This window comes from Homo sapiens, chromosome 12 (assembly GCF_000001405.40).
Source record: "Homo sapiens chromosome 12, GRCh38.p14 Primary Assembly".
Taxonomy (NCBI): domain Eukaryota; kingdom Metazoa; phylum Chordata; class Mammalia; order Primates; family Hominidae; genus Homo; species Homo sapiens.
Window position 1 is genome coordinate 59,978,153 of NC_000012.12, and position 22,909 is coordinate 60,001,061.

The window sequence follows — 22,909 nt, forward strand, 5'->3', positions numbered from 1 at the left end:
AAAAGTGAGAGCATATTCACAGAGTAAACACAAGGTCAAAAATTGGGGTAGAAGGCACGAAACTGTGGAGAAGGCTAAATTAAAGATAAAACACCCAATCTGACCAGGGACAGTAGCTCATGCCTGTAATCCCAGTACTTTGGGAGGTCGAAGTAGGAGGATCACTTAAGCTCAGGAGTTCAAGACCAGCTTGGGCAACATAGTGAGACTCTGTCTTTACCAAAAAATTAAAGAATTAACCAGGCATGGTAGTGCACATGCTTATAGTTCCAGCTACTCAGGAGGCTGAGGAAGGAGGATTGATTGAGCCCAAGAGTGCAAGTCTGCTGTGAGCTCTGATTGTGCCACTAAACTCTTCCCTGGGCTACAGAGCAGAAATACACTCAACTTGCTCCTGAATAGTGTTTTACATCCCCCTAGATGGAACATGGTAGTGGTGAAATTCTAATGTATCTCAAAGCAATAAAAAATAAGTGCAAATCCTAGTACAAAAATCACATTATAGCATGCAACTCTTTGGTTTGTATTTAGAAGTTAAATTCAGTAGTGTATTTTAAACCTTGATATTACCATGCAAAGTATATGCTAAAAATACATGCAAAATTTTGAACTGTACTTTAAATTTTTCCTCAAATGGGGTGAACCTCATGATGACATAAATATATTTGAAACATTTTTGTATTATTTTATTCTAACTCAAATAATTTCTTTTCTTTTAAAAAAGCTTTATTGAGGTAGAATTGACATAAACTGCATGTATTTATAGTGCACACTTGGATAAGTTTTGACTATGTGTGTGTGTGTGTGTGTGTGTGTGTGTGTGTATATATATATATATATACACTTATGAAATCACCACCAAAATTAACATAATAAACATATCTATCACTCTCAAAAGTTTTCTTCTCCCCTTTTGTAATCCCTTTGTCCTGGTCTCACTGCCCACATCCAAGCAATCATTGATCTGGTTTTGTAACTATAGACCTCTTTGCATTTTGTAGTTTTATATAAATGCAATCATACATTATGTAGTATTTTTGCCTGGGCTTTTTTTTTTCATTCTGCACAGTTATTTTGAGTTGTGTGTTTCAACAGTTTATTCCTCTCCCCTGGTTTTTTTCTTTCCTGAGTAGTATGCCACCACAGGAATATATTACAATTTGTTTATCTATTCATCTATTGATGGATGTTTGTGCTATTTCCAATTTTTAATGAAATAAAGCTGCTAAGGAGCACATGTACCATTTTACCATGTGTAGAATCCTTGTGTTTTCATAGTATAGCTACTGAGCTTCGGAGGTCAGAAAAAAATTAATGAAGAAACTGTTTAAGAGATGTTTCAGAGTGTGTCAACAGAAGGCAAACTGACATCTCTTCCCCTCCGTGACATTTTGTTGTGTTCTGTCAAGGCAAGAACCTGATGTTTCTTATTGACTCAGGAGGAATATATACCTAAATGAGATTCTGTTGTATATTAAAGTATAATGAAGCTAACTTCTCTGTTAGTTTGAATGTCAAATACCATCATTGCATTTCGTTATTCTCAGAGTGCTTTTCTAAGAAACTGTAATGCACATGTCCAAGCTTCATAATTGCAATGTTTTCAATATTATCATCTTCAAATTATTTCTTATTAAATTTTAAAGCTTTCAATAAAAGATATTCATAACCACATTCTTTGATTCCTAAGATGTTCTAAAAGGCAGACTTGAAATTCATTATATTTGAAAGCATTTACAACTCATTGGAAACTGTTCTGCAAAACAATGATAATGGGCAGTAAATAGGAATATTAAACAACATCCTCTCAGTTACTTAGTAAATACTTTGCACAAGTTAAAATCACAGTGTAAGAATTAGTTGAAAGCTTAGATGTTATCCAGTCATGGCTATTCATTTGATACTCGAGGTCAAATAATTTGCTTTGAGCCACACAAGAACAGTTGCTAGTGACTGAGTAGATTTTTAAGTCATTTACCTCTGATGCAGTTTTATTTTTATTACTATTCCTTACTATCTCTTAATATTCCTGTTGCCTTCTCAATTTTTAAAATGGATTTTCAAATGTGGGGAGACATATAATATTTTTATGCTAATTTTTTAAGGAAAATAGATGTGGGTTTTCTTAGCCAGAAGGTGTCATTTTACCTTCTGGTAAAATGGTAAAATAACAAGCTGTTATCACTGTGACAGCTACGAACTTTTGTCCATGGAGACATTCAAAATCATACTTTTGTTCTTCCTCTAAGTAAAATGTTGTCTTTATTTACTTTAGCTTAGGGCTGCTCTTGCTGGTAGAAATGGCAACAGTTTGCTTTAGATTAAATGTTCTTTTAAAATGTCATAGCTCTCTTTCCTCCTACCTAACTACCACATTTCCATCTAAGGAATTTTCTATATATAAAATTTATTCTGCATCTGTAATGATAAAAAAGAAGTAAAAAAGCTTATTTATGCCACATAATAGATAGAGTATGTGCTTTGAGGTCAGAATATTATGCTGCTTAGTAACTGTACAAACTTGTGCATTGGAATTTAGCTCCTAAAGTTTAGGTTTTATTAGAACGTATGTATAAGATTCTCTACTGTGCCTAATTCAGAAGTTTTTATGAGAAGAACATGAGATATTTTATGGGAAAGCACTTTATAGACTACCACATGATAGACAATATAATTGCAATTTTATCAGTTCTCTGAGGTTGGATAAAGCCAATGTGAAAAGTCTTGTCAAAATGCCAAGTCAAATCTATTTGGGTTCCTACATGGCAAAGTAGAGTAAAGTGCTACAAATTTTAGAAATGCAGATCCACTGGGTCAAGACACTGCAATGGCTTTAATAACAAATATTAATTCTGTGCCTGAAGTGTGCTGAACACATGATGAAGGGTGTCCTCATGACGGCTAAAGCACTATTGGAGGGCAAATAGGATGCAGAAGTTTCCCAAGACCCAAAGACTTGTGTGTTGAAGTATGGATTCTCTCTGCCTCATTCATATTTCAGATTTGAGTTGTATAATTGAGCCATAGTTAACTGAGGCTATCACATTTTAATTCAGACATGTAAATTTAACATTTGTGTACTTAAATAATTTCCTGTAAATCAAGCATTGCTAATTCATGGATATATATTAACGGACAGTATCAACATAGGTTCTGATTTCAGTAACTTATAACTGTATACATAAACTTTCAATTGTTTAACACAAGCTGGTGGATGAGTGAAGCTGTAGAGTGATTTGTGAATCTCACCAAGATTTTAGAAGTAAAAGATCAAATTACAATAAAGGAAATACTTCTTTGCATCTTCACTTTATCTCCACTAATTTAATTCCAATACATATTTTTATTGCTGCTACAGTCCAAATGTTTGTGAATCCTCCAAGCCCCAACAAATTCATATGTTGATACAATGTGATGACGGTAGGTGGGGCCTTAGGAAGGTTATTAGATCATGAAGGTGGAACCCTTATGAATGGGATTAGGGCCCCTTGAAAGAAGCCCTAGAGAGCTGCCCTGCCCCTTTCACTATGCAATGACACAGTGAGAAGGCATCATCTATGAATTAGGAAGAGGGCCCTTACTAGACACAGAATCTGCCAGTGCCTTGTTCGTGGACTTCCCAGCCTCCAGAAATGTGAGAAGTAAATTTCTGTTGTTTAAAAGTTACCAGTATGTCTTTGTTATAGCAGCTCGAATGGAATCAGACAATTGTCTACTGATGTTAGTCATTCTCTATTTTTATAATAGGGAGTGTTGTAAAAATACATAGGTAACATCTTTGACAAATTTCCAATGTTTTGTGATAAATATACTATGAAAATTTGTACATAATAAGCATCTGCTTCAGAAAAATGATATTTGTTGATAATGAGAATTTAAAAAACCTTAGCTTAAAATATTGTAGAGTATCTGATATATGTAAATACAGCCCTGGAGTATGATCAGCTTCCAGATTTCATATTCCAAATGGTTCTGAATTTCTATTGCTTTATGGAGAATAATTCTAATTTTAGTTTATGATTGAATTTTTAAAATATATCTGAACTTCAATTTTTTCTTGAGTAGAGATCTCTGGTTTTCTTTGCAAAGTCTGGCTGAAGTAAAAAGAGTAATTTTAATTTTAAATATTTAGAAACTAGATTAAAGTATGTCTGCTTTCAGAAATTATCTTTCCAACTTAAAGGTCACATAAATCTTGAGTAAATTCTTATTTCATTTTCTTTTATTTATAAAGCCATTTTCATTCATATATATTTTAATTGCCAAAACTAAAAGTTAACATTTGGAAGGAAGATTATGACTTTCGATTTCACTTTTGCTGCGATTGTTTTAGATGTTAAGAGAAGTTTAAGCATTGCCTTTTATGGAGCAGCTGTGCAAGCATGGATAGAAGTTGGGCACTCTCACCTGAGCAAGGGCTCTCTCCCACCAAAGCTGATCTGGCTGCTTCTGAATTCCAGAACCACAAAACAAGACACAAATGCCGGGTCCCAGATATATTAACATCTCTCAAGGAATCTAGCTAGCTACTTGGAAGCCAATTATTGATATCAGAATGCTTTTACTATGAAGGTGACAAAGTTTTGGTCCTAGTAGAATATTTATCTATTCTGGATATGGGTTTGTCTTCACTGTTTATAATACTTAGGCCAGGATAACTATGTGATTGCTTTTAGGAAATTTGATTTACTGATACAGGATTCTTAGTTCCACCTTGGATCAAGGAACATTTCTTGGATGACAGACTATAGGCTTGGGATCCTGTTTTCCAAAAAACAGTACCAGTATTGGACAAAAACATATATATGGCACACTTGCTCAATAGCTACAATAAATGATCCCCAAACCAAGAGTGGTAGTAGGATTTGCTCCTCTCACCATCACTCTCAAATTGCAAAATGTATGCTTTGTGCCTATGCAACTGTAAGCTCTGCTGGATTGAAGGTCCTGGTCAATGGGGGTATGCCTCTATCGCATAGTTGGAGACTTCAACACCTCACTGACAGTATTAGACAGATCATCAAAACAGAAAATTAACAAAGATAGTCAGGACTTGAACTCAGCTCTGGATCAAGTGGACCTCACAGGTTATCTGCAGAATTCTTCACTTCAAAACAACAGCATATACATTCTTCCCATTGCCACATGGCACTTACTTTAAAATTGATCACATAATCGGAAGTAAAACATACCTCAGCAAATGCAAAAGAACTAAAATTATAACAGTCTCTCAGCTCAGTCAAATTAGAACTCAAGTCCTGGCATGGTAACTTACGCCTGTAATCCCAGCAGTTTGGAAGGCCGAGGTGGACAGATCACTTGAGGTTAGGAGTTCAAGACTGGCCTAGCTAATATGGTGAAACCTTGCCTCTACTGAAAATACAAAAATTAGCTGGGTATGGTGATGGGTGCCTGTAATACCAGCTACTCAGGAGGTGAAGCAGGAGAATCGCTTGAACCTGTGGGGGTCAGAAGTAGCAGTTACCCGAGATTGTGCCACTGCACTCCAGCCTGGGCAACAGAGCGAGACTCTGTTATTTTATTTTATTCATTTTTTATTAGAATTTAAGATTAAGAAATTCACTCTAAACCACACAACTACATGGAAATAGAACACCCTGCTCCTGAATGATTCCTGGGTAAATAATAAAATTAAGGCATAAATCAATAAGTTCTTCGAAACTAATGAGAACAAATAGACAGTATAGAAGAATTTCTGTGATGCAGTTAAGCAGTGTTAAGAGGGAAACTTATAGCACTATAATGCTCACATCAAAAAGCTGGAAAGACCTCAAGTTAACAACCTAACATCACAACTAAAAGAACTAGAGAACCAAGAGCAAACAAACCCCAAAGCTAGCAGAAGACAAGAAGTAACTAATATCAGAGCTGAACTGAAGGAGGTAGAGACATGAAAAACCATTAAAAAAATCAATAAATCCAGAAACTGGGTTTTTGGAAAAATAATAAAATAGATAGATAGCTAGCTAGACTAATAAGAAAGGAGAGAAGAACCAAATAAACGCAATCAGAAATGATAAGGGGGATATTACTACTGACCCCACAGAAATACAAACAACCATCAAATAATACTATAAACACCTCTATGTATATAAACTAGAAAATCTAGAAGAAATTGATACATTCCTGGACATATACACCCTCTCAAGAGTAAACCAGGAAGAAATTGAATCCCTGAGTAGACCAATAATGAGTTCTTAAATTGAGGCAGTAAAAAATAGCCTACCAACCAAGAAAAGCCCAAGACCAGATGGATTTGCAGCTGAATTCTACTAGAAGTACAAAGAAGAGCTGGTGCCATTGCTACTGAAACTATTCCAAACATTTGAAAAGGAGAGACTTCTCTCTAATTCATTCTATGAGGCCAGCATCATTGTGATATCAAAACCTGGCAGAGATACAACAAAAAAACTTCAGGCCAATATTCTTGATGAACATCAATGCCAAAATCTTCAGTAAAATACTGGCAAACTGAATCTAGCAGCAACATCAAAAAGCTTATCCACCATGATCAAGTCAGCTTCATCCCCAGCATGCAAGATTGGCTCAACATACACAAATCAATAAATGTGATTCATCACATAAGCAGAACTAAAGACAAAAACCACATGATTATCTCAATAGATGCGGAAAAGGCTTTCAATAATATTCAACTTCTCTTCATGTTAAAGACTCTCAGAAAAGGAAGCATTGAACAATGATACCTCAAAATAATAAGAGCCATATATGACAAATCCACAGCCAATATCATAACGAATAGGCAAAAGCTGGAAGCATTCCCTTTGAAAACTGGCACAAGACAAGGTGCCCTCTTTCATAACTCCTATTCAACATAATATTCGAAGTTCTGGCTAGGGCAATCAGGCAAGAGAAAGAAATAAAGGGTATTCAAATAGGAAGTGAGAAATTCAAATTATCTTTGTTTACAGATGACATGATTCTATATCCAGTAAATCTCATTGCTTCAACCCAAAAGCTTCTTAAACTGGTAAGCAACTTCAGCAAAGTCTCAGTATATAAAATCAGTGTGCAAAAATCACTAGCATTCCTACACCAACAACAGGCAAGCGGAGAGCCATATCATGAATGACCTCCCATTCACAATTACTACAAAAAGAATAAAATACCTAGGAATACAGCTAACAAGGGAAGTGAAGGACCTCTTCGAGGAGAACTACAAACCACTACTCAAAGAAATCAGAGAGGACACAAATGGAGAAACATTCCATGCTCATGGATACAAAGAATCAATATCATGAAAATGGCCATGCTGCTTAAAACAGAATTAGAAAATAAAACTATTTTAAAATGCATATGGAACCAAAAAAAGTACTTGTATAGCCAAGACAATCCTAAGCAAAAGAACAAAGCTGGAAGCATTACTCTGCCTGGCTTCAAACTATACTACAAGGCTACAGTAACCAAAATAGGATGGTACTGGTACAGGAACAGACACATAGACCAATAGAACAGAATAGAGAAATCAGAAATAAGACTGCAAACATACAACCATCTTACCTTTGACAAACTTGAAAAAAACAAGCAATTGGGAAAGAGTCACTATTTATTAAATGGTGCTAGGAGTGCTGGCTAGCGATAAGCAGGAAAATTGAAACTGGACCCCCTCCCTTACACCCTATACAAAAATTAACTCGAGATGGATTAAAGACTTAAATGGTAAAACCTGAAACTATAAAAACACTAGAAGAAAATCTAGGCAATAACATTCAGGACATAGGTACCAGAGAAGATTTCATGACCAAAACTCCAAAAGCAATTGCAACTAAAGCAAAAATTGACAAATGGGATGTAATTAAACTAAAGAACTTCGGCACAGCAAAAGAAACTATTATCAGAGTGAACAGATAACCTACTGAATGGGAGAACATTTTTGCAATCTATCCATCCAACAAAGGTCCAATATCCAGAGTCTATAAGAAATGCAAACAAATTTTACAGGAGAAAAACAACCCCATTAAAAAGTGGGCAAAGGACATGAACAGACACTTCTCAGTTGTTGTGGCCAATAAACACATGTAAAAAGCTCAACAGCACTGATTATTAGACAAGGGCAAATCAAAATCACAATGAGATACCATCTCATGCCAGTTAGAACAGCTATTATTAAAAAGTAAAAAACCAACAGAGGCTGGCGACATTGTGGAGAAAAGGGGACACTTCCACACTGTTGCTAGGAGTGTAAATTAGTTCAGTGTGGTGATTCCACAAAGACCTAGAGGCAGAAATACCATTTGACCCAGCAATCCCATTACTGGGTATAAACCCAAAGAAATACAAATCATTCTATTATAAAGATACATGCAAGCGAATGTTCATTGCAGGAGCATTCACAATAGCAAAGACATGGAATCAACCTAAATGCCCATCAATGATAGACTGGATCAAGAAAATGTAACACATATACACCATGGATCTTTGCAAGGATATTATACAGCCATTAAAAGGAATGAGATCATGTCCTTTGCAGGGACATGGATGGAGTTGGAAGACATTATCCTCAGCACACTAACACAAGAATAGAATACCAAACACCACATGTTCTCACTTATAAGTGGGAGCTGAGGGATAAAAACACGTAGACACATTGGTGGAAACAACACACACTGGGGCCTGCCAGGGGTGTGGAGGGAGGAGAGCATAGGGAAGAACAGCTAATGAATGCTGGCCTTAATACCTAGGTGATGGAATAATCTGTGCAGCAAACCACCATGGCACACATTTACCTATGTTAACAAACCTGCATATCCTGCACATGTACCCCAAACCTAAAAGTTGAAAAAAAAAACGGGTCTCACTAAACATATAACTATTCCTGTTGCCTGGTCACTTTGGAGTCCTTATGCCGGTGGATGAAAAGGTGAAGAAAGGACTTTTTATCCTAATGGAGATAATCAGCTCTACCTTTCTTGGGAAGATTTGGTTACTGCCATGTAATTGTGTCAGAGATGAGTGTTTGAAACTTACAGATTTTACTGAGTATCTTAGAACTTTCATGACCAGTGAAAATAGTGCATGGACAATTGCTGAAACCAAACCTGACAAGAGCAAGGGCACTAAAAACACAGACACCCCAGAGATGAACATCTGACTGACCCCATCAGACAACTTGGACCAGGTGAAGTGCTGGCCAAGAGTGAAAGGAATCTAGAGTGGGTAGATGAAGAAGATGATGGATATTAATTATGACTTCTATGTCAGCTGCAAATGGGAACTGTAGGTTGTTTTCTTAACTCTAGTATAAACAAATCTTATATTTAGAGATTGCAACAAGTACCACCTTGAAGAGTCAGCAACACAGTGAACTAAATATGAGACATAAGCAGATTCAAGTGGTATAACTGATGATCTATGCGTGTGATGCGCCATGCAAAATCTTGGCCCACATGAATTCAGCAGAAATGTTGTATACTGTTCATTCACCTGATCTTACCGACACAACACATATATGCAGTACAATCTCTTTTCTGTGCTGCTGTGTAGCTTTCTCTTCAGCTGCAAAAGACTGCTTAGCATTGTGCTACTGCAATCTCAAGTTTTAAGTTAGTTAAAGTGCCCTGGGAAATTCCTCAACCAATAAAGGAAAGGAGTTGGTGTGTAATTCGGTCAGTCCCCTTATTCTCTGGGGAGAAAGGCCAATTTGGAGGCACATTCTGTGTGGTTTCTCATTTTTCCCCAGTGGGATTAAGCCCTATATTTTGCAGAGGGAACCAGTTAATTAACATATACTTTATTGGTTTTTCTGCCTTCCATGTCTCATGTTCTCCTCTTTATTTAAATTTTAAGAGCTATTAAAATATGAGGTATAAAAGAACCAAGGGGAGATTATCTCGATAACTTCCATAGCCTCTCTGTGCTAAGTGGCCACATGCAAATGTACAGTTGAAGGATGTCCTACAGGAATATTTACCTAACACATTTCATTTCATCTGTTTTGTTGAGAGTGGTTAACTGTTTGTCAGTTCTATACAGAATTCAGATTTCTCAACCCAGAACATGTCTGCATTTCAGTATAGTTTCTATTCCCAGACAATGACTATTTTTGTTCTATAAACTTGCTTTTTGGTTTGGGACTTTAATGTAATGTACATTTCTTCCCTTCATCTCCAGATCATGGTGATGCTTAAAATGCAATAAATGCTGCAGCAAAATAAATTGACACCAGGGAGTATGGAAAGGAACATATATCTGCTTAAGGAGATTTTTTTCAACCTCAATCTGAATATTAAACAACGTTTGTGCCATCAAAGAAGGCTGAATCCAGGGATATCAAATGAATAGCCATCCTATTTAGAGCTGGCACTTTTATTCCTAATAGAGTAACAAATATCAAATAGCTAATATCAATTCATTATTCTTTAGCTTAGTTTATGGTCAGTGGCTTTTATACTCATTTATCTAGAGATGTTTTTTATAATAAGATTAAAAAAATTTATGATGTGTTTAACAATTCCACTTATGGTATCAGGAGACTCTAGGTACAGTAAATTTGAGTACGTTTCTGATTATTATTTCTAAATACCATCCAGGAAGACATCTCCAACAATACAATCATTTCAATTCTTTTTCTTTTTAGTCTTGAATCTAGACAATATTTTACCAATACCAAGTAACAGAGGAAATATAAATATTTAAATTTTATTCATCTAAAGTTTCCATATTTTCTATTTAATAGCAAAAAGTATTTAAATGATGACACTGAGGATGCTCAATGCCCAGGCTGGAGTGCAGTGGTGAAATCTCAGTTCACTGCAACCTCTGCCTCCTGGGCTTAAGTGATCCTCCCACCTCAGCCTCCCGAGTAGCTGGGACTACAGGCTAAATTTTATATTTTTTGTAGAGGTGGGTTTCACCATGTTGCCCACACTGGTCTGAAACTCCTGGACCCAAGTGATCCACCACCTTGGCCTCCCAAGTGCTGGGATTACAGGTGTGAGCCACCTTGCCTGGTCTATCCAGGAAATTAGCCAAAGGATAGGAAAGGATAATTCTATCCAACATACTTACTGGATGCTTAGTAGGTGCCTGACACTGAAGCAAATCTAATGCGACGGGTAAATCTATACAATGTAAGTCTTAGCTTTGCTATTTCCTGACAATGTCATTTGGATTATTATTACTAACTTATCTGCCAATTTCTTTATCATTCAAAGGAAAATATGAATTCTTGTATACCAAGCCTGCTGTTAGGGTTTTATGAAATAGTATATGTAAAATGTCAAGCAATGCCTAGGGCAAAGTATTCAACGAATGTTAGTTATTTTTGGACTCCAGGGATCCAGGGATGAACAAGTGAGACATCTCACATGGAGGCAGACAATTTAATATGTAATTAAAATACAGCGTGATAGTGGTAAGTGACAAAGAGAGTGTGTCATAAGACAAAAGCAAACAGAATCTAGATGAAAGTAATATTTAAGTCCAGATCTGAAGAGAAAGAGAAAGTTAGGAGGAAAAAATGAAAAGAATGACATTCTAGAACAAATGAAGAGGCCAAATGAATGAAAGAGTATTATGACTTCGAGGAGCTAAAATAACTTAAGTGTAGCTGAATAGGTAGCATGATTGATGTTGTAGCAAGAGGTAACATGACCTCAGGAGAGGTCAGCAACCTTAAATCAGTGGCTCTCAAACATTTTGGTCACAGGAGCCCTACTCACCCTTAGATACTACCAAGAACCTCAGATGGCTTTAGTTTATATGGGTTATATCAATCAATCAATATTTACCATATTAGAAATTAAAACAGGAAGTTTTAAAGTATTTATTAATTTATTTAAAAATAGCAACAATAAACTCATTATGTGTTAACAAATATTTTTATAATAAATATTTTCCCAAAACAAAATATTGTTAGAAGATTGGCATTGTTATACATTTTGAACATCTCTTTAAAGTCTGTCTGAATGGAAGATAGCTGGATTATTACATCTGCTACTGAATTCAAGCTTCTGTGATAAGTTATTTTTGTTGACATGTATAAAACAAACATAATCTCACAGAAATTAAGTAGGAAAATAGAAGGAGTATTTTAATAGCCCTTTCAGGATCTATAGTTTTGTGTAGATAGTTTTATATAGTCTTCTATCCACAATTATCTATACAAAACTATACAAAAAATCAACATGGAGTAGTTTCTTAAAGGTTAGTTGCAATGTGAGACATGACCCCATGTCGATTAACTTTTAATATACTGTTATATTAAAATTCATTGGTCTATTTTGGACTTTGAAAGTTTTACCCATGTATAATTTTGCATCACCAGACATTTGATCATTTGTAAAATATTGACTCACTGTGTTGTCCCACAGTTGTCTCTTCAGAAAAACTTTTACGTATTGGGAGGTAACAGGTTAATGATGTTTCATTCGTTTCTAATTTTAACTGAGAAGCAGAAATTTTATTATTGGCAACAAATACTATCATTTTTAAAATAGTCTTGCTCATTCATTTTTGAGAAAATGTTAGGCAAATATCCAATTCTTAATAACCACAGTTTGTCTTTCAGTTGTTCTTTCAAGTAAGAATGATGTTCCATTGTGAAAGTGAGTAGTTCAATTTGCAAATGAAACAATTGCCAAGTGCTTCAGAAGTACTTTACCTATACTTCCCGTTCCTTCACACAAAATATTAAAAAGACGTGTCCACGGCCGGGCGTGGTGGCTCACGCCTGTAATCCCAGCACTTTGGAAGGCCGAGGCGGGTGGATCACGAGGTCAGGAGATCGAGACAATCCTGGCTAACACTGTGAAACCCCGTCTCTACTAAAAATACAAAAAATTAGCTGGGTGTGGTGGTGGACGCCTGTAGTTCCAGCTACTCGGGACGCTGAGGCAGGAGAATGGCGTGAACCCGGGAGGCGGAGCTTGCAGTGAGCCGATATTGGGCCACTGTACTCCAGCCTGGGTGACAGAGCGAGACTCCGTCTCAAAAAAAAAAAAAAAAAAAAAAAAAAAAGACATGTCCACAAGGGGTGAGACATGGCAACATTAATGAATCTTACTTCTTTATTGAGATAATTTTTAAATAAAAGTGTATTTTTAAAAACCTGAGAGTGTATGCAAATGAATAATGACCTGGAAAGTTTGATGCCACTGTCTTCATTTGTGATTAAGTGATAGTCCACCTTTATTTTTGCACTATCAGTACAAAGGGCAAAATATATTCGGTATTGTTATGAAAAAGTTATGATCATAAAGACCTCTGCTAGGGTTTCAGTTACCCAGGCATTTTGGCCACACTTTTTCTAAGAACCATCAGATTATACAATCAAAAATATCCAAGAAAAGGAAACTGATTACAATTTTAAGTGGTGTGTAGTTTATGTTATTTAATTGTGTTTGTTCATCATACAAAGGTCTCATTAAGTGTTTAGGGAGCTGTCACGTAAATAGAAATTAGATATGTCCTGTGTTTGGTTTCTATGGGTAGAACTAAAACTAATAAATATAAATGGCAATCAGATAGATTAAGGGGCAGCATAAACATGAGTTCCCTAAACATCACTGACTTTTTCCCATTGAAAGCTATTTGGTGTTGAGTTTCTAGGAACTGAGCCAAGGCAGAAAAATCATCAATGCTATTGGATAGGTTTAAATGCTAGAGAGGTCGCTGGATAAAATGACCTTCAAATTTTCCTAAAATGTTGAGATTCTGTGATTTTTTTATTTATTAGATTACCTGAAATATAAAACAATAAGAAATGTATGAAAAATGACAACCAAAGGCTTTGTAAAATTAGTTCTTCAGGTTTTTTTTTCTTTTTAATTTTGCTGTTTAACACAGTTCCCCTGATTTCCACAGAGCAACTGCTCTTGGAAGGAAATTCTAATGCTATGTCATTTGGTGAAAGCGTCTACCCAAACAATCTGCTCAGGCCTAAATAATGTTAAAAGCTGCACATGGAATTGTGTTAAAACAGAAATAAATTATTTGTAATTTTGCTTAGTGCCAATTAATTACTTTTTTGAAATAATTGTTTTTAATGAAATGTATGTTTTATTTGTCTGGTTATCATAATCACTTTTTGCTTTGTTAATTTATTTTTCATTTTTCAAGTGTGCAATGGAATTTGCACATCAATTCAAAAAGGGTTAGAGCAACTGTACACGTTGAGGAACTACATATATTAAGGAATAACATAATGAGTAGTCAACAAGTTTATTAATTGTTTTAATGAAATTTTACCTCCAGTTAAATTTATGTGACACCTACACAACCATCAGTTAATTTGGAGAGAAAGAAGTGCAGTGATGTTGGATGATCATTGGCTTTCTGTATATTTCAGTAAATCATACTGATAATTTTTGATGCTGTATATGTATAGCAAAATATACTTTGATTTAAAATAATCCATTTTGTATTTTGTCAACTAATTATCATAATGTGTAAAAAGGTGCAGAGAAATCTCCCTCTCTCCTTTTCTCTCTTTCTTCCTATCTCTCTCTCTTTCTCTCTCAGTAAAATAAAAAGTAGTAAAGAGACATAAGAAACTAAGAGATAAAAAGATGCTCATCTGTGAAATACATGGAGGCGAAATCATCAGAGATTTTAAAAACAAATGTAAAAAGAAATCCATGGGTTTCTTTCATTCTTCATTCTCACTGTCTCCTTACTAATATTTAAGAACATTCCAATCACATCATTCCCCATCTGAAGTGGCTATTATCTGCTCCCTTGCTCTTAAATCTCCTCTCTTTTGCATGGTAGCTTCTTTCATCTTTAGCTGTTAAAAGATAACTCTAAACATTGTTTAAAGAACAAGCAATCTGAGGTGAAGTTCAAAAAACACTAAAGAGTATTACATTTATTGAATTGTGCTTAAGATCAATGCATTATGAATTTCCTATTAGAGCTCTTCACTATTTTCTGGACACATTCTTCTATTCTTTGTTACATGTATAATGTACTGAACCTGCAGGTAACCAACATTCAGCTTCACCTTCAGATTTGTCTTGGTTTTCTCATGTGGGCTTTCAGTAATTCTCTCTAAATCAATATTTGTTCTTTCTACTAAAATACAAGCTCTTACAAGCAAGATACAATTTACTGTGGATACGAAATCAGCAGAATATAAGCTCAGAATTGTGGTAATTCTAATGCCTGAGATTTCAATACAAAGAAAAATTATTTAACTACAATGTGGAATTTGTCTGCAATAGAAGTTAATTTAAAATTTCTTAAAATATTTGTCATAAGGTAAGCCTTGCTGAACAGCTTTTAAGGATAAGATTTAAGTAAGTTACAGCACACTCTCAGTATCATGATTACAGTTTTTTTGGAGTTGATTTTTATAAGCCCCCAAATTAAACAAATTTGATACATCTTTTCTTTACTCACTGTGGTTCTCATTTATCAAGGCAAAAATTGTACCTGACAAAATTAAACAGGCAAGGAACACTTTATTTAGGCTATTGCAATAGGAGAGAATGAACTTAACTCTGATGAAACAGAGGGCTGGAGAGTTTTTAAGAGCTGAGGTTGGGAAGATTCTAGGCCACCTCTATTTGCTAATTGGCTTTACCCAAAGGAAAAGTAAACTTTTTTGTATTTTCATGACAGGAGGTAGTTCTACAACTTGGAGCAAGACATCCATGGAAGTTACGCTATTACTCTCCTATAGAAACAGGGAGATAGGGGTACTATCTTCCTCAATGTTTACATTTCAAAAGAATGGTTCCCAGGTCCTTGAGACAGATCTTCCTGTCTGTCCATAATCATGATATTGATACCATAGTCATGATATTGAGAATGTGCTGTAACTTACTTAAATCTTATTCTTATAAGCTGTTCAGCTAGGCTTACCTTATAACAAATATTTTAAGTAATTTTTAATTAACTTCTATTGAAGAAAAATTCTACATTGTAGTTAAATTATTTTCCTTTGTATTGACGTCTCAGGCATTAGACTTAACACAGGTTGTAAAACTCGTAAAAAGCTTGTAGAACATTTCCATAAGTTTCATAGAGACAGAGAAAGAATTGACAATTGACAATTTTCTAAAGTAAATTCTCTAAGCAAAGGGAGGTTGAGTTTAGGGGCAGGAGAAGCTTGTCTAATGTTTGATCAGATTGAGGGAAAGAAGAAAAACTGTTCTGGTCACATGTACATTTTCTTCTATTGAGACCTGTGGTCTATTCCTTTTTCATCAAATTAGGTCATCCTAATTTCTGACAGATAAAATAATTATATATTACCAAATTTGGAGGGAGTGATTATTGTTTCATGGAGTTTTGTAATAAAAATATCCATAACATATTTTTGATTAGTTATTGAGAGCCCACATGTATAAATTACTTTTGAGTACCATGAAGAAACAGAACCTATATTTTCTAATGTTGAGTAGCTATAATGATGTATTTGTCTTACTAATTGGTGATTATGACATTTCTAGTATTTACAAGATGGGGAATGTATTAGTGTTCCCTAGGGGGACAGAACTAGTAGGAGATATGTATATATAAAAATAAGTTTATTAAGGAGAATTGACTCACATGATCACAAGGTAAAGTCCCATGATAGGCCATCTGCAAGATGAGGAGCAAGGAAGCCAATAGTGGCTCAGTCTGAGTCCTAAAACCTCAAAAGTAGGGAAGCTGACAGTGCAACCTTCAGTTTGTGGCTGAAGGCCCAAGAGCTCCTCGCAAACCACTGGTGTAAGTCCAAGAGTCTAAAAGCTGAAGAACTTGGAGTCTGATGTTTAAGGGCAGGAAGCATCTAGCACAGGAGAAAGATGAGGGCCAGAAGACTGAGCAAGTCAGCTTCTTCCACCTTCTCCTGCCTGCTTTTTCTAGCTGCACTGGCAGCCAATTGGATGGTGCTCACCCAGATTGAGGGTGGCTCTGCCTCTCCCAGTCCACTGACTCAAATGTTAATCTCTTCTGTCAACACCTTCACAGACACACCCAGGAACAATATTTTGCATCCTTCAAACAAATCAAGTTGACACTTAATATTAACTATCACAGAGGATAATAATAATTGGAAAAATAATTGGTTTTTCTTTCTAAAGTCTTGGCAAAAGTTACATATAAGACATGCACAATCATTTGGTTTTAACCAATATGCCTTGAATAGATGTCTATTTTAATCATCTCAACATTATTTATTCTGTGGAAGTCTTCAAGGATCTCAAAAGACACATACTTCATGATCTCAGTTGCATGTGAAATCTAAGAAAAGTTGAATTCACAGAAGTAGAGAGTAGAATGGTGGTTACCAGGGGCTGGGGGATTGGGATTGGCAAGACGTTGGTCAAAGAGTATGAAATGTCAATTAGACATTCATTCAAAGAATGATAAGTATGTGAGGTAGTAAATTTATTTACTAGTTTGATTTGGCCATTCTACAATGTATACATATCTCAAAATATCCTGTTATACACTATATACATCATTTTTGTTTGTCAATTAAAAATAAATAACAAGAAAGAGAAAGAAACTTAGAAGCATATATTAATATAATTAAATGCAATCGTAGATAATGTCGAGTTCTGCCATATCATTTAATAGGTGAGGAAAAGGATACAAATGAAAATGAGACAGTCCAGAGTCACAGTGACCATCTGGAGGACTTTAACCCAGTCACTAAGCTCTTAAATATTCCTTCAAAGGCAGAAAGTATATATGATTTGAATTTGTCTGGAGAGTTGCTAAGTACTTGATTAAAAACATTTCTTAGGAAACTATGGACACGAGTGAAATGAAGATTAAAGAAATACTAGCACAGATCGTAAAATAAATATTCAACATATGGTCGAGACAGTTGCAAGTAAGGATCACCTTATAATTGTTAAAATTCTACTTTGAACATATTATAATGAATATTGCATTTTATCAGATACTTTAAAGTGTAACTTGACTATGTCCTATAATTATTTATTGACTCTGACCAAATGTGTGTATAAAGAAAACTTTAATCTTATATGTTGAGGAAGAGTAGTTTTTAGTACCATTTTAGAGAAAGAAGTTAGTTTGAGTGACCACTTTTATATAGGTCTTGACTGCTCTTAATTTGAATTGAATGGATAATTAGCAGGCAGAATTACCTAGAGAAAACAAGTTATTTTGAGTTCTCCAGTGGGAATTAGCTAGTAGGGATTCAGCCTAGTGTGCAGAACATCACATTCAAATTATTGTAACTTAGAAACATCTTATGTATGGCCGTGAAATGGTGCTGTTTAAAGACTTTTCTGAGGGTATGAATTAAATAGAGCATTTTGTAATAAAACAAGAGAGCAAAATGGAGTGATAGTGGAGGCAAACCTAAGGAATACCCTTGGCATGAGCATGCTTTTGTTGTTTCTTATTGGTAGCTTAGCCTTTCCATTTCTTTTTCAGCATGGTATATAGTCATCAGGAATAGAACTAAAGCTGAACAGAATATTGTTTTAACAGAGCCAAAGGCAAAGTACATCCTCAAGTAAACTTCAAATGCAACCTGGGAAATTAATTCCAAGTTGACTCAAATGACAACACTAATTCTGGTTTTAAGGCAGAGTAGTGTGGAGGGGATAAGAATATTATTACTCTATCATTACTGTGTGTGTGATGACAGGGTTCAAGCTGCATAATTAGATAATAATGGGAAGCAAATGTTCCAGAAATTTAGATACTGAGAAGAGGTGGTCAGAAGTGTAATGCCTCTATGAGGAGGTGACGAGTACACTTTTCACCCTGTACATTATCAAAATGGTTCCTGAGTAAAAGAAAAATAACTAGTTTTATACAATCCCTTTAGTATAAATATTTCCCTATATGGTCTGTAATAAATACATTAAAAGATATTCTGAGTGCTGACTCACATATTATTAGTTTCAAGGGAGTATTGAATGTGACTATAATATCTATCTTTGAGGATATGAGTATTCAAACAGCATATATATAAATGTATAGTATCATATGATATATTTATATGTGACTGCTCTTGAATTGAATAGATAAGTTACAGGCAAAAAGGCAGAAATACCTACAGAAAATGTTATTTTCAGTTATCTAGTGATAATTAGCGAGTAGATATTCAGCATATTGTGTTGGTTTTATATGTATATAGCAAGTGCCTAGTTCAGTGCCTAGCACATCCCTGATAATAATAGTAGCTTCTTTTTTATTATTGCTTATGTTGATACTACAAAAACTGTGGAAAACCCTAATACTTATATTTGACTTAGATATGTAGTCTTTGCTTACTCTACAATTAAGATACGAATATATTTTATTGTATAAGACTCAAGTGCAAACAAATATAAAGAGGAAATTGTGCAAGTTCCCATACTCCCTCTCCTCAGGCCTGCTTTCAACTTTCACGATCACCACTACATGGTGTGTATTTTTTGGCTTTGCATTTATACACACTTACATGCAAACAGAGAATGTATGAACTTTTTTTTGAAGCTACATAGGGACAAAGGAAACTTTCCTTCCTCTCCCTCCTGAAGGTTAGATAATGTGAGTTTATAAAACAAATTGATCTAGCCTGGGCAATATGGTGAAACCTTGCCTCTACAAAAAATACAAAAATTAGCTGGGCATGGTGGCATGCATCTGTAGTCCCAGCTACTTGGGAGGCTGAGGTGGGAGGATCACTTGAGCCTAGGAGGCGAAAGTTGCAGTGATCTGAAATAAGGCCACTGCACTCCAGGCTGAGCAACAGAGAGAGATCCGGTCTCAAGAAAAAAACAAAACAAAACAAAAAACTCAAAAAACAAAAAACGCAGTAACAAAAACTGACCATAGAGAGATTAACAGGAATTAAGTCATATACATTTATTAATGGGCATAAACACAGAGCCATACAAAATAGGAAGCTCAAAGAAGAGTCAGATGACTGAAACTTTTATACCATCCTGACATTCCAGAAATATTGAGATTGGACTTTTGGGACAGGGAAGTGTCGTCATAGGTTATGGGAGAGTAGGGAGAGGAAATCATGATAAGCAAAGAGTTTCTTGTTATGCAGATAAAAATCTTTCAGGTAATCTCAGAGCTACCTTCTGAAAAAAATAGATGATAGCCTGTGGAAAAAGTTTCTCCATCAGATCTTTAAAAATGTCAGATTTGTAGTCCTCTTTTTCTGTGAGTTAATCTTTCCTAGATCCAGGTAAATCAGGTAAATGAGTCTCAGAGATAGGGTATTGGCACCTGCTGTTTATTTCACTAATGTAGATTTCCTCTACAGATGCAAATCTCCCCCACAAAAGACAGCTTTTCAGAGCTTTCACTGTATTTGAAGCCCCTCTAAATGGTTGTCTTGAAATATACCAAAGAAGTATATTTTGGGGTAAGCATATTTTGGCTTCTTTCATTCCCCCATTTCAAACTTAATTTTCAGAAAGTTTTATATATAAAGTAAGGTTCAGAACTATGGAGAGATTTGGGTCAGAAGTTTTGGGATAAGACATTGATACAGGGGAAGAAAACAGATTGGATCAAGCAGAAAAGAACAAATTAGAGGACATTTTCCCATGTTTTGTTGAATCAATCTCTTAGTCTTCAGAATAGGGAAGTTAAGTTAAAAAGTTGTGTCTCATTTCAGGAAGTGGTATTGGAGATGGACTCCCATCAAGGTTAGTTCTCAGTATGGTATAAGCATCTCTATATGGTAGAAGCACATAGGCATTCAATAAGAGACTTTTCTATTAAAACAAAAGAAAAACAAAGGTTAATGTCTGGAGTTATGAGCTAGTCTCTGAGTCTGGAGGGCAATCAGTTGAGAAGATTCTAGACTTGGCCTTAAAGTATTTTCAGTTGGAGTGGGTGCAGGCAGTGACAGGCAATGTGACAGATTGTCCTGGGTTGCATTTTGCATGTCACAAAGTTTGTCCAAATATAAGCTGTTATGGTGACTTTTTTTAAAGCCATGTTGACTACCTTCAGATTGTAGGGCCTCAGGTAAGAGGCAGTTTTAATTTCTAGAGATTCCAAATAAGAAGGGCGGGGAAAAAATGGGAATGTTCATTTGGAGACTTGCAGCCAGGAAAGAATTCAGAATTTATTCCAAATTGCAGGTAAATAATAGAATTTCAAAAACCAATGAGCTGGAATCTAAAAACATAATAGGTGTACTATAGGAATTTTTTCTGAGACATATTTTTTCTCTATATATTTACCTCCATTTTTACCAAATATAGTTGTGGTAAGACTAATTTGCTTGCAAAATAAGTTGCCCAGGCTGGTCTTGAACTCCTGAGCTCAAGTGATTCCCCTGCCTCAGCGTCCCAAAGTGCTAAGATTACGTGCATGAGTCACCATGCCTGGCCTATAAGAAATCTTGAATTAGGCTTAAAAGCCTCTAAAGGCTAATGAGCGAATACAGAATTGACTCACTCTCAAATTGTGTCTGTAATTATAGTGTCTGGGTGAATTCCTCTCTTCTCGATGTCTTCAAAATAGCTCATGGTTCTTGGGCCTGCCAGAAAGTGACACTCTTTACCTACCTGCAGGGAAACCATGTGGACTATGCATTTAAATTATCAGGCCATTTTTTTCCAAGGGGTTTTTGCTGGCTCCACAGAGCCCCTTAAAGTAATCTTGTCACTTCTGAAAATATTACATTCTAGTCAAAGCCTCAGTAAAATAACTATTGTTTCTAATTGTGTCCTATTACAAAAGCACACAGATTCTTATTCAATTTATCCAAACGTTATATTGCCTAAAATATGAACGCTCACAGATAGCTTCCTAATTCTAAAAGGATCAGTAGAGACAAAGGTAAATGTTTCAATTCTGTTTACAAAATTATACTTAACCAAATTATTGCAAGCTATAAATAACTTAAAAGTGAAAAAGTTTCCTTAAATTTGGAAAACAAAAGGAATCACCAATGTTCCAAACAAAATGTCATAAAAAGACATTTTATTCAAATGTAATGAATTTTTGTTTTTTGGAATTGAGTTGGCAGTTTCATGAACCCATGTATCTCTTTTTTCATGTCTTATTGGCATTTATTTTATTTTATTTTTTTAACTTTTATTTTAGGTTTTGGGGGTACATGTGCAGGTTTGTTATATAGGTAAACTTGTGCCATGGGGGTTTGTTGCATAGATAGATTATTTTGTCACCTAGTACTAAGTCTAGTATGCAATAGTTATTTTTTTCTGCTCCTTCCACTCCTCCCACCCTTTATCCTCAAGTAGGCCTCAGTGTCTGTTGTCCCATTCTTTGTGTTCATGAGTTCTCATCATTTAGCTACCACTTATAAGTGAGAACATGCAGTGTTTGGTTTGCTGTTCCTGCGTTAGTTTGCTAAGGAAAATGACCTCTAGCTCCATCCATATTCTCGCAAAAGATATTACCTTATTGTAGTTTTATGGCGGCATAATATTTCATGGTGTATAGGGACCACATTTCCTTTATCTAAAATCTGTCATTGTGGGCATTTAGGTTGAGTCCATGCCTTTGCTACTGTGAATGGTGTTGCAATTAACATTAGTGTGCATGTTTCTTTATGGTAGAATGATTTCTATTCCTCTGGGTATATACTCAATAATGGGATTGCTGGGTCAAATAGTGGCTCTGTTTTTAGCTCTTTGGAATCACCATACTGCTCTCCCCAGTGGTTGAACTTATTTACACTCCCACCAATAGTGTAGAAGTGTTTCATTTTCTTTAAAGCTCACCAGCATCTGTTATTTTTTGGCTCTATAATAATAGCCATTCTGACTGACATGAGATGGTATCTCATTGTTGTTTTGATTTGCATTTCTCTAATTATGAATGATATTGAACTTTTTATATATATATGCTTTTGGGCGCATGTGTGTCTTCTTTAGAAAAGTGCCTGTTCATGTCCTTTGCCCACTTTTTAATGGGGTTCTTTGCTTTTCTCTTGTACATTTGTTTAAGTTCCGTATAAATGTTGGATATTAGACCT